Genomic DNA, 12978 nt, shown 5'->3' with positions numbered 1-12978 from the left:
CACAATTTCAGCAATCCTCCACCGCTCAATACTTAGGTTGTTTCCAACACATGGCTTCTTGTTTTTCTTTAACAGACCATCCCACACACGGTTCATCCCATTGTGTCCTCACAGGGGGAAACCCTGCAACCCTGATACCACTCATTGTGTGACTTATCTTATACAAGGATGAGTAAGACAATGACTTTCAACGAAATATCAGCAAGTTTTATTATAGAAGGAACTACTTTCCTTTCCCAACCCACCCCCCAGTTTTGCTAACAATAATTCATTTGTTTACTGGGTTGATTTCTCTATTAGAAGCAAATGCAATAAACCGGGGTGTGGCCAGGCATGGTGGCTCACGACTGTAATCCTAGCACTTTGGGAAGCTGAGGTGGGTGGATCACCTGAGATCAGGAGTTCTAGATCAGCCTGGCCAACATGGTGAAACCCCACCTCTATGAAAAATACAAAAATTAGCCGGGCGTGGTGGCGCATGCCTGTAATCTCAGCTACTTGGGAGACTGAGGCAGGAGAATCGCTTGAACCTGGGAGGCGGAGGTTGCAGTGAGCCAAGACCACACCATTGCACTCCAGCCTGGGCAACAAGAGCAAAACTTCAACTCAAAAAAATAAAAAATAAATAAATAGGCCAGGCATGGTGGCTCACGCCTGTAATCCCAGCACTTTGGGAGGCCGAGGCAGTTGGATCACGAGGTCAGAAGTTCAAGACCAGCCTGGCCAAGATGGTGAAACCCCGTCTCTACTAAAAATACAAAAATTAGCTGGGCGTGGTGGCACATGCCTGTAATCCCTGCTACTCGGGAGGATGAGGCAGAGAATTGCTTAAACCCAGGAGGCGGAGGTTGCAGTGAGCCAAGATCACGCCACTGCACTCCAGCCTGGGCCACAGAGCGAGACTCCGTCTCAAAAAATAAATAAATAAATAAATTGTGGTGAAAGGTGTGGAACATCTGAAGCAGGCATGGGCTCAGCCTAAGGGTCCACGCATGGGCTCAGCCTCCCCTCAAAACAGATTCCAGAGTTCAGAAGACACCTTCAACTCTTCCCCAGAAGTAACAGATTTCCCTCCAGCAGATCACCTGGCACGTGTCAGAACTCAACCCTAAAAGCCCAATTCAGCCTCCATTAAAAACAGGTCAAAAATAGATACGTTACTGAATACCCTGTGTGCTCACCACTGTATCTTTAGTGTCGGGAAGAAGGGGGCAGAAAGAACCAGGAACTGGAGCCAGGAACCTGGGCTCACAGTGATATTAGCTGTGTGGTCTTGGGCAAGTCACTTCCCCTCTCTGCGCCTTGGTTTCAACATCTCTAAAGTAAACGGTTTGCATTAGATGACCCTCAATGACCCTTCCTGCTCTGGGCCTGCCCAGTTTTATAAGTGACCAGTGACTGTACATCATGATGTCAACTCACAAGTACAGCTCCTACCAGCTTGCTGCTGCCTGGAGGGAAGACAGCAGGAACGCACAGAAGAAAAAGGCCTCAGCCGGGTGCAGTGGCTCACACCTGTAATCCCAGCATTCTGGGAGGCGGGCAGATCACTTGAGGTCTGGAGTTCAAGATCACCCTGGCCAGCATGGCAAAACCCCATCTCTGCTAAAAATAGAAAAATTAGCCAGGTGTGGTGGCACATGCTTGTAATCCCAGCTACTCAGGAGGCTGAGGCACAAGAATCGCTTGAACCTGGGAGACGGAGGTTGCACCAAGATTGTGCCACTGCACTACAGTCTGGGTGACACAGTGAGGAAAAAAAAAAGAAAAGAAAAAGGCCTGGCCCCGTGTGGTGGCTCATGCCTGTAATCCCAGCACTTTGGGAGGCCGAGGTGGGCGGATCACGACGTCAGGAGATCGAGACCAACCTGGCTAACATGGTGAAAACCCATCTCTACTAAAAAAAAAAAAAATACAAAAAATTAGCCGGGCGTGGTGGCAGGCACCTGTAGTCCCAGCTACTCGGGAGGCTGAGGCAGGAGAATGGCGTGAACCCGGGAGGCGGAGCTTGCAGTGAGCAGAGATTGCGCCACTGCACTCCAGCCTGGGAGACAAAGCGAGACTCAGTCTCAAAATAAAAAAAGAAAAAAAAAAGAAACAGGACTCATAACTAGGTCCCCTATGAAGCCACTGGTCACAGTAAAGGGGAACACATCAGACTGCTCTCTAATTTGGGAGTATGGGTAGAATTCTGATTTCATATTTGAAAAATCATCTAACCTTTATCATATATGCCTAGCTTCATATTAAGACAAAGGTATTCATTTCATTAAAAAAAAATGACTGACTCATAACAAGCCAGCAAAATAGAGTCAGAACAAGAGCAAGTCATCACGATACCAATGCCAAAGGGGAGGTTTCTGTCTTTATTTTCTAACTGGCAATGACAAGCTTTTTACAAAACCCAGGCAAGCTGCAAGTCAGTGATAAAGGGGATGGTCCGCCTTGCCACTTGAACAGAGACAGGCCCAGATAGGCAAGGACACTGGGTGACCTTTAAGACCCAGAAAGACCTCACTGGTTTTAAGGTAATGCTCAGTAGGAATGAGGGAGGGGTGTGCCAGGGGATGGAAGGGGGCTGCTGACACTGTGTGAGTCAGTACCAGACTCTTTGCAGAAACAAAGGCTCAGGTCCAAATATGTACTAGGAAAAACTGACAGTCTCTGGATTATAACCAGCTCACTGGCCTCCACGTGGGAGCTTTTGCAGGGTTCAGAGCTTCTCTGAATGGGCAGGGATGTCCATCCAGATGACCAGGCTACTTCCTCCCACACCTGCCTGCACCTGCTGCATGTCCCTCCCCGCCCCTAGATTATGAGCTCTGCAGGTTCTAGCAGATTCTGCCCTCCTTTCCCACTCCACCTCTCTCGCCTCCATCCTCTCCCTCTCTCTCTCTCTCTCCCACTCTTCCTCCCGAATCACCCTTGAGAGAGGCAGGAAGCCACAAGAGCCCCAGGTTCCAGATGAGGAAAGTGATGCTCAAAAGAGACAAGATCAGCCCAAGGTCACATAGGCTGCACCAAGAGTCCAACCCACTCTCCTAACTCGAAGTCTTGTTTCTCCCATCACAGCGGTTCTGTGGGTGCTGCTCTGAAACATCTCCTCTTATCCCACAACCACTCAGCCTTGCCCAACCAGGTCCAGCCTGCTGCCTCTCTCCAGCACCACACAGCCTCTGGGCCCCTCCCAGCCAAGACCACTGCAATCGCCTGGCCCAGCAGGGGCAGGTGGCTGCAAGCTGGCTAAGAGCCGGACAGGGCTGCTATCTGCCATTGTCTAGCCATGCAGCTTATTTAACCTCACTGAGCCTGAGTGCCCTCATCTGCAAAAAGGGGATAATAACCCTGTCTCAGAGAGTCCCTTAAAAGAAAGGAAGCACATGAAGCTTGCCCTAAACCCAGCCCAGTAAGGGCAGACACACACACAGGCTCCTCACAGCCCACCCCACCCAAAGGCTCCAAACACCACTCCCCAGTTCAAAATCCTCCCACATTGAAAACCCGTGGCCACACAAACACTGGTAGACAAACGTTCATAGCAGTGTCACTCACAATAGCCAAAAAGTAGAAATGACCCAAACGACCATCAGCTCATAAAAGGATAAACAAAACATGGTATCTCTCTGTGATGAAATATCATTCAGCCATAAAAAAAGAACAAAGCAGTGATACCTGCTCCAACATGGATGGACCTTGAAAACACTATGCTAGGCGAAATAGCCAGAATCAAAAGGACACACAGTGTATGATTCTACTCACATGAAATACATAGAACAGGTAAATTCACAGAAACAGAAAGCAAATTGGTGGTTGCCAGGAGGTGGGGGAGGGAGAAATCAGGAGTGAGCACTCGTGGGCATGGGGTTTCTTTTGTGAGTAACGAAAATATTCTGGAACTAGACAGCAGTGATGGTTGCACAATTCTGAATATACTAAAAACAACTGAACTGTATGCTTTTTTTTTTTTTAAGATAGAGTCTCACTCTGTCGTCCAGGCTGGAGTGCAGTGGCATGATCTCTGCTCACTGCAACCTCCACCTCCCAGGTTCAAGTGATTCTCCAGCCTCAGCCTCGCAAGCAGGTGGGATTAGAGGCACCCACCACCATGCCTGGCTAATTTTTGTATTTTTAGTAGAGACGGGGTTTCATCATGTTGGCCATGCTGATCTTGAACTCCTGACCTCAAGTGATCCACCCACCTCAGCCTCCCAAAGTGCTGAGATTACAGGCATGAGCCACTGCGCCCAGCTTTGAACTGTATACTTTCTAAATGGATGAATTTTACTGTATGTAAATTATATCTCAACAAAGCTGGTATTTTTATATTGCCATCAAAAATACAAAACAATAAAATGATTAATATTTACAACATGAAAAGAAAATCCTTCCATGATACCTCATTCTCTACAAGATAGAATCTAAATCACGCAGGCATCCTCCAAGTCCAGCCCCAGCCTACCTTGCCGCAAACACCCTGCATTTGCCCAGCAAGACCTCTCACTGTACCCCAAATGAGTCTTCCCCCCTGCAGGCCTGGGCTGCTAACATTCACTGCCACAGCAGCAACAGTTACTCACTTGGCCTGATTCTTGTCTCAAGTCCTGGCTGTTCCTTTGAGGCCTGCACTGCCTATGACTTGAAACTCTGACCAGCCCATCTATCTCCCCAACTAAGCTGGAGCCTCCTTTAAGGAAAGACACCTGGACCAGCCTGTTTTCCTCCTCTCCTGTCCCCACTCCTCAGGACAACAGTAACAACAGCTGTCACCATGACTTCCTGTATGCAAAATCCTTGACAAAACGATGTCCTTAATTCTGACAGCAGCCCACTATCAACCCAATTTACAAGTAAAGAAACTAAGGTGTGAAGTTGAAGAAAGGGTAGGGAGGACGCAGGGGAGGAATCTGATCAAGGTATTGGTGCAAGGGGCAAAACTAGGATTTGAACTCAACATTCTCTTCCCAAGGTGCTAGCACACACTGCCTTCCTAAGATATAACCAGGAATGTGTAGACAGCTGGTAGGTGTCAGTCATATTTCATTCTGCAAGTGTTCACCCAACAATCACGTTAGAGCTAAAATATAGCTCTAAAAATAAAATGAGAGCACCTGATGACCTTTGCAGTCAGGTTGCATACAACTAGGCTCAGCTGGTTTCTGGCTACAGTTAAGAGTTTTTCTGGGTACCATCAGACCAGTGCAGATTTCAGTACAAAACATAAACAATTATTTGACATTTTCCCTGAGCATTAAAAAAATGTAATTATTTTTTAAAAAAGGATCACAGAAAACAGCCTCTATGTGAGTCTCACACACGGACAAAAAGTGGTGTGAGGCAGCCACCATGAAGCCCAATTGGCATGTGTGCAAATGTAAACATTAAATTTAAAATATTGGCTGGGCACGGTGGCTCACGCCTGTAATCCCAACACTTTGAGGAGCCAAGGTGGGTGGATCATCTGTGGTCAGGAGTTCGAGACCAGCCTGGCCATCATGATGAAACCCCATCTTTACTACAAATACAAAAATTAGCTGGGCATGGTGGTGGGTGCCTATAATCCCAGCTATTTGGAAGGCTGAGGCAGGAGAATCGCTTGAACCTGGGAGGCGGACGTTGCAGTGAACCAAGATCGTGCCACAGCACTCCAGCCTGGGAGACAAGCAAAACTCTGTCTCAAGTAAATAACTCAATAAATAAATTTAAAATCTTTTTTTTTTAATGATAATACCCAGTGCTGGGACGGACATAATGAAACAGGCAATCTCATATGTTCTAATAGCAATGTAAACAATGAATTCCTTTTGGAACGTTATTAGGCAAGTGGTATGTGTCTAATACCAGAAAGATATCTGGAAATTAATCCTGAAGAAAGAATTTCTGCTTTACAGAAAATGCTGTATTCATGAAGATATTGGTCCTTGCACCACTTGTAATGGTGAAAAATTGGCTACTGCTTAAATCTCTAAATACGAAAAAGGCTAAATGAATTATAGTACATCCATTTCATGCAGTATTCTGTAGCTATTAAACATCATGGTTAATATCATCCATGTATTAACATGGAAAAAATAAAAAGTTCTCTTTATTTAGCCTTTCAGCATTAAAGGACCTGAAACGGTCCCTGCTCTGTGAATATAATTATCTTAAATAAGAAGCCACTTGGAATACATTGTACTTGTAACTATTTTGAAATTATAATAGTTTTGTGATGGGGGGGATAAAGGGCTTTTTTTTTTCCTTTCTCTAGTTTCTACATTTCTTTTAATGTTGTTATACCACTGTTACCTAACTAGGAAAAAATAAATTTTTTTAAATGACCAAGCTCATTTTGAAGCTGCTCGGTGTCACATAAACACTGAGGCCTGCCTGCCTCAACTAAAGCAGCCACTTGAAATGCAGCTCCAGCTGCTCATTCTTCTGTTTATCAAAACAGGGCAAAGCCGCCCAGGAAACTCGCCTCAGCAAGGTGACCTGACCTCAGGCCCATCACAGTCACAAATCTGCATTTCCAATAAAAAATAATCACAACGAAGAAAAGCACCCAGGTAACCAGTTATGGAAAAGCAAAGGATTGATGAGTTGGGGGTGACAGGACAGTGAATTACTGTTTTTGTTTTTTTGTTTTCTTGGGGTTTTTATACTGATCATAGTCACAATGCCTAGCACAAAGTGCTCAATAAGGATTTGAAGCAGAAAATGTTTCAAATGGGAAAATGCACTCATTTACCCATTTTAAAAATTTAAGGGAGTGAGGCTAGGCATGGTGGCTCATGCCTGTAATCCCAGCATTTTGGGAGGCCGAGGTGGGCAGATCAGTTGAGGTCAGGAGTTCCAGACCATCCTGGCCAACATGGTGAAACCCCATCTCTACTAAAAACACAAAAACTAGCCAGGTGTGGCGGCAGCCTCCTGTAATCCCAGCTACTCGGGAGGCTGAGGCACAAGAATCACTTGAACCCGGGAAGCAGAGGTTGCAGTGAGCTGAGATGGCGCCACCGCACTCCAGCCTGGGTGACAGAGCGAGACTCTGTCTCAAAAAAAAAAAAAAAAAAATTTAAATAGGAAAATGCACTCATTTGCCCATTTAAAAAATTTAAGGGAGTGCCCACACTTCCTGAGCACCAAGGCCCAAAACACCATGCACACCCCCGGCCTGAAAAGTTGTACTCCCTTAGTTCTCATCAACAGAAGCTGTGTTTGGAAGTGAGCAGGCAGGAAATTGGTACTTTTGTCACCAACTTGAACAACAAAACAGTCAGAAAACTTAAATGTCACCAGGAGAGTAAATGTCAAAGTGGGAGGGGTAACTACGGTTTACCAAGTGTCTGCACCACTACCTGTTCCGGGGCCTGTGGGCATGATTTCATAAAGTCCTACCTAACACTCTGACTCTGGCAGCAAGCAGCCTAGGCTTGAACTCTGACTCTCAACTGATTGGCTGTGTGGCCTCAGGCTGGTTGCTTAGCTTCTCTGCATCTCATTTTCCTCTCCTGTAAAATGAAAGCAAGAAGAGAAGAGACCTACCTCATTAGGGTGTCATGAGGATTCACTCAGCCAATACACACAAAGCACTGGGTACAGTGTCTGGCAGAAGCACAGCATCTGTCAGTTACTTATTAGTATTGTGCTTACATTTTGCAGCCAAGAAAAACTGAACCTCACAGAGGTTAGTAATGTCCCAAGATCACACAGCTTAGTAAGAGGAAGTGCTGGGATTCAAACCCAAATCAAAGGATCTGTGCTCTTTTCACCAGAGCTAAACCCCACCTGCAGGATTATTATGATCCCCACCCCAAACACACACACACACACACACACACACACACACACACACACACACTTTGGGGCTGTCACTGCAAAAGGTAAGAATATTATGAGATAATAAGAAGTGATATGGGGCCAGGTACAATGGCTCATGCCTGTAATCTCACCACTTTGGGATGCCAAGGCAGGCAGATCACTTAAGTCCAGGAGTTCAAGACCAGCCTGGCAAACATGGTGAAACCTTGTTTCTACGAAAACACAAAAACTAGCTAGGTGTAATGGCACATGCCTGTAGTCCCAACTACTGGGGAGGCTGAGGACCGAGAATTGCTTGAACCTGGGAGGCAGAGGTTGCAGTAAACCAAGATCACCACTGTACTCGAGCCTGGGCGACAGAGTGAGACTCTGTCTCAAAATTTAAAAAAAAAAAAAAAAAAAAAAAATTATATGGGACTGGAAGAGGAGGTCCAGTCCATTGTAACCTGTGGATAATACCAGCTCCATGTCAGGGTGGTTCTTTCAATTCATTCACCAAGCAAGCATGCTTTTGAGGCACGCTCTGTCCTACACATAAGGAAATCAGACATAGGGGGTCCCACTCCCCTGAACTCATAATCCAAGAGGTGGGGAGACAGACAGAAATGAGTAGGTGATAAGGATGGGAGGAAATGAAGGAGGATGATGGGATAGAGGGGCCTGAGTGATAAGAAGGAGCGAGGAGGATAGTACCAGGCCCTGAGGGAGAGGGGCGGGGTAGGTTCAAGTGTCTGTTGTACTAGAGCCAGGTGACTGTAGTCTGTGAACAGGGAGTGGGTAGCCAGGATGAGGTCGGAGGGTGGAGGGGAGGGAGGGGTCTGATCATCCTGATCTAAGGTTCAGAGTCTTGCAGACCACTGTTTGGGTTTATACTAACAGCGATATGAAGCCATGTAGGCTTTTAAGCAGTGGAATAACACACCTCAATTTACGGGAAAGAAGCAAGCCAGGAGAGGTGGCTTGCACCTATAATCTTAGCACTTTGGGAGGCCAAGACGGGAGGATCGTTTGAGCCCAGGACTTGGAGGCCAGCTGTGGCAACATAGTGAGACCCCCATCTCTACAAAAAAAAAATTTTAAAATTACCCAGGAGAGGTGGCACACATCTGTAGTCCCAGCTACTCAGGCAGGTAAGGTAGGAGGATCGCTTGAGCCCAGGAAGTTGAGGCTGCAATGAGCTGTGATCACACCACTGCACTCCAGCCTGGGCAACAGAACACGACCCTATCTCAAAAAAAAAAAAAAAAAAGGGCCAGGCATACCAGCACTTTGGGAGGCCAAGGCAGGCAGATCAGCTGAGGTGAGGAGGGCAAGACCAGCCTGGCCAACATGGTGAAACCCCATCTCTACTAAAAATACAAAAAATTTAGCCAGCTGTGGTGGCACAAGCCTGTACTCCCAGATACTCAGGAGGCTGAGGCAAGAGAATCACTTGAGCCCAGAAGGCGGAGGTTGCAGTGAGCCGAGATCGCACCACTGCACTCCAGCCTGGGTGACAGAGCGAGACTCTGACTCAAAAAAAAAAAGAAGAATCTCGGCATGAAAGTAAAAGAGACTAGCATATGGGTGGCATTTGATAAAGGCCTTTTCCCCCCTAGTTTTCCTTCTCCTTGTGCCACTAGCCCTACATACCCATAGACAATCATGTTCTCCCTTTCTGGGTCTCTGTTTCCAAAGAGTTTTGGTCTCAGTGGTTCTCAACCCTGGCTACATATTAACAACACATGAGGAGCTTGGAAAATAAAACACCAATGGGGGCAAGAGGTGTCCATACACCCAGATATCCAGAATCCACTGGTCTGGGGAGGGAGCCTCCAACTGGTATTTTCCAAAAGCTTCTCAGGTGCAGCCCCAGTTGAGAAGAGCCCACTTAAAGGGGCTTCTAAGGCCTTTCTACCTCAGTGGTCTAAGTTCTAATTGGGAGAATTGCCAAAAGACAGAATGTGCTCTTTGAAGACAGTTCCTCCTCACTGAAGACTATCAAGCAAAAAATACTTGCTCAAAGGTGCAACTCTTATAATCAGACATTCTTAACAGATTCCTTCCAAAAGAGATTTTTGTGGTTTAATGACTTGGGTGATCGTCCAGTAAGCAAGCAAGTCTTGGGCCTCAGTGTCCTCAGCTGCAGCCAAAGACAGCAAATAAACAGCACATGTGCCACTCCTTGCCTCTCTTGTGGCCATGGCAGACATCACTAATTGATCCCACCTTAGCCTCCTGCTGAGCCAGGACATCCCAAGTGATCTGAGAATCCCTTCTATACAGGGCCCAAGCAGTCACTCACTAGGACATTGTCTTTCCTAGCCTAATGTCCCTAAGGTCTTTTCCAACTCTGACATTCTTTGAGGGGATGATCCTTTTAAACTTCTTACTAGCAATCATTAACTACCAAGTTGCATGGCAATGAGCTCAGCTGGCTTGAGGCTAGTCAGACCATAAGATCACATGTTTCATCCCTGAGGAAGGCTCTTGCTGTATTTCCTGAACTTCAGACTCTGTCCTCTCCAGGTAACATCCCTCCCTTCCCTGGCAGCTGCACCTCCTACATGTATTTACCGAATAGGGCCTGAGACAGATTATTCAAGTAGATCAGGGCAGACCAGTCCATATTCCTGGAAAAGCTCATCAAAGCAGGCATCCTTTATGATCACTGGTAGTTGAAACAATAATAATGACAGCAGCTGGTGCGTACAGAGCACTTTCTGTATGCCAGGCACCTTGCCGGGGGCACTGCATACATTTTTTCACGGAATCTTGATCACAATCCTCTAAGGTATTTATTAGCCCCATTTGGCACACAAGAAAATTGAAGCTTTGAAAGCTACTAAGTTGCTGCTGATCACAAAGCAATAGAAGCGAGATTACAGGAGAGCCACATACCTGGATCTGGGCAAGTCCCTCCACCTCTCTGTGCCTCATCTCTAAAATGGGCGTGATAATTTTTTCAAGAACACAGTTTTGGAGCACATGTGGTAATTTAATACATTCACACAATTTGTAAAGATCAAATCAATGTACTTGGGATATGTATCACCTTAAATATTTGTCTTTTCTTTATGCTAGAACCAAATTGTTCTCTTCTAGCTATTTTGAAATATACAGTAGATTACTGTAAACTGTAGTCACCCTACTGATCTAGCTAACATGAGGTCTTTAAAATGAACATAATAATTGTAAGGATAAAATGAGAGCCCAGCACACGGTATATGACAGTCCAGTGGATGTCTCAGAAAAACCTCATGAAATTCGGGTTAAAAAAAAAAAAAAATCAAGGATTGAAGTTCTGACCAAGTCTGCTCTACACTGTGCTAGGAGCTGTTTTTGGGCCTCACAAAGTGAAGTATTCTTGATAGGTTGTGTGCACATCCCAGTTTTCAGAAAGCAAATCCTACCTCACTCCACTCACCCCTGGCTGGCATCACCCTTCAAGTCAGTTTCTTCTTCTGCCTCTTTCCTGCTATTCTCAATGTCACCGGCTGGAAGGCATTCTCTCTCGCTGGCTGGAAGGCATTCTCTCTCTCGCTTTACACCCTGAGGCCTCTAAACACTCTAAAAGCTGAAAATTGCTCCAGGGAGCTAGTGGGAGGGGGAACTTGGCAGTGAATCTCTTTGCAATGGGATCTCCCTTTGACAGGGCATATCTCTTGTGTGGAAGGAACTTGGTCTCAAAGCTCCTAATAAATGGTAAACCTTTCCCTCAACTTCACATCCCTTGCAGCAGAGCTTAGCACCACACCATCAATCACATTAGCACGGGGTTCCTTTCCCACCCAGACAGGAAAAGTATCAGTTACTCCCATTTTACAGAGGAGGAAGCCGAGGCTGAAAACACTAGGGAAGAACTCGACACCTAGATGCCCAGACGCAGCACAAACTCGGCCAAAGCTCCCGAAAAAGGACTCAGTGAATGAGAAGGGAGTCGATGTGAACCCTCTTTTGAGCCCTGGCAACCTGGATGTTTGTCACATGTGTAAACCTTGTTAGTTTAGACCTACGGTCTCACGGGGAGGAAGTCAGCTACCAGCATGAGGCCAATCCCATGAGAATGAGAGGACAGCCAGTCCCACCTAGTAAGACTGCCAGGGCATAGGCCATCCACACCAGTACTTCAAAGCAAGTATTACCTACAGCAAGGGTAGTTTGCCCTTTAGGGGACATCTGCCAATATCTGGAGACATTTTTGTCTGTGGGGGAGGGGGCGCTACTGGCTCCTAGCAGGCAGAGGCCAGGGAGGCTGCAGGACATCCTACGGGGCACACAGGACAGCCTCCCAAAACAGCGAGTTATCCAGCCCAAAATGTCAATAGGGCTGAGATGGAGAAACCATGTTCTGGAGGAAAAGAAGTTGTCCTCACTCACCCCAACCACATGGTGGGATAGGTGCAAAGCCTAAGCCAGGTTCCAGGGAAGAGCAAAGGCTAAGCATTCCATGTGCATCTTCCAAAAGACATCGAAAGGCTGGTCCCAAACTCTGTGGCCGGATAGAAGCTGAGGGTCTGAGTCTTACCTCACAACAGGTCTTCTGAAATAAGAGCTTCCACCCCTGCACCCCCATCTCCAACGATTTCTCTTCTCACCATAGGATTTGGTGACTGCTCTACGCAACAAAAGTCCCTGACACTGAGGCTGACAAAAGTTGTTTGAACACCTGCAAGACAGGTCTCCCTGCACCCTGGGTGCATGGCAACACTGGCCAGTGCTCTGCATCACTCTGCAGCCCCAAAGTCAGGAGATGTCGTGTTAACAAGGAGGTCACTGAGGTGGGAGCAAATGTGCTCAGGCCTACTAAGTGCCATGATCTGGACTGAGTGCCTTACATGCCTTCCCTCACTTAAACCTAGTAACAAAATGGCCTGGTTGTTGCTACAGATGCAGTGACATTTCCAGATTTCCATTTTCCAGATGCAGTAACAGATTCTGAGAGGCTCAAGTCCCTGTGCAGATAGCAGGGTCACACAGCTATAAGGGAAGAGCATGGAACTGGACACATGCTTCTGCTGACACCAAAGCCCATGCTCTTTCCCAAGTTCCTCTTTTTTTTTTTTTTTTTTTTTTGAGACAGAGTCTCGCTCTGTCCCCCAGGCTGGAGTGCAGTGGTGCGATCTTGGCTCACTGCAAGCTCCGCCTCCCGGGTTCACGCCATTCTCCTGCCTCAGCCTCCCGAGTAGCTGGGACTAC

General features: G+C 46.7%; 1 protein-coding gene across 4 annotated transcripts in view, besides 2 other annotated features; it reads right to left on the bottom strand.

The window, feature by feature from the left end:
- PTPRJ (protein tyrosine phosphatase receptor type J) overlaps nt 1-12978 on the bottom strand; it is a 190281-nt gene that overhangs the window by 161650 nt on the left and 15653 nt on the right. The gene's annotated exons all lie outside the window — the stretch shown is intronic.
- Nucleotides 2350-2494: an enhancer, noted in NCBI's record as "145 bp enhancer 240 fragment used in the MPRA reporter construct; PK_construct_4095". NCBI's record gives its function as "activates an SV40 promoter by MPRA in K562 cells {active_cell/tissue: K562}" and the evidence as "EXISTENCE:reporter gene assay evidence [ECO:0000049][PMID:23512712]".
- Nucleotides 2414-2431: a transcriptional cis regulatory region, noted in NCBI's record as "GATA motif; enhancer activity is reduced when this motif is scrambled". NCBI's record gives its function as "necessary for full MPRA enhancer 240 activity {active_cell/tissue: K562}" and the evidence as "EXISTENCE:site-directed mutagenesis evidence [ECO:0005528][PMID:23512712]".

The sequence above is a fragment of the Homo sapiens genome, chromosome 11, assembly GCF_000001405.40.
Source record: "Homo sapiens chromosome 11, GRCh38.p14 Primary Assembly".
Classification (NCBI taxonomy): domain Eukaryota; kingdom Metazoa; phylum Chordata; class Mammalia; order Primates; family Hominidae; genus Homo; species Homo sapiens.
The sequence above is the reverse complement of the archived record's forward strand: the minus strand, read 5'-3'. Positions and strand labels throughout refer to the sequence as shown.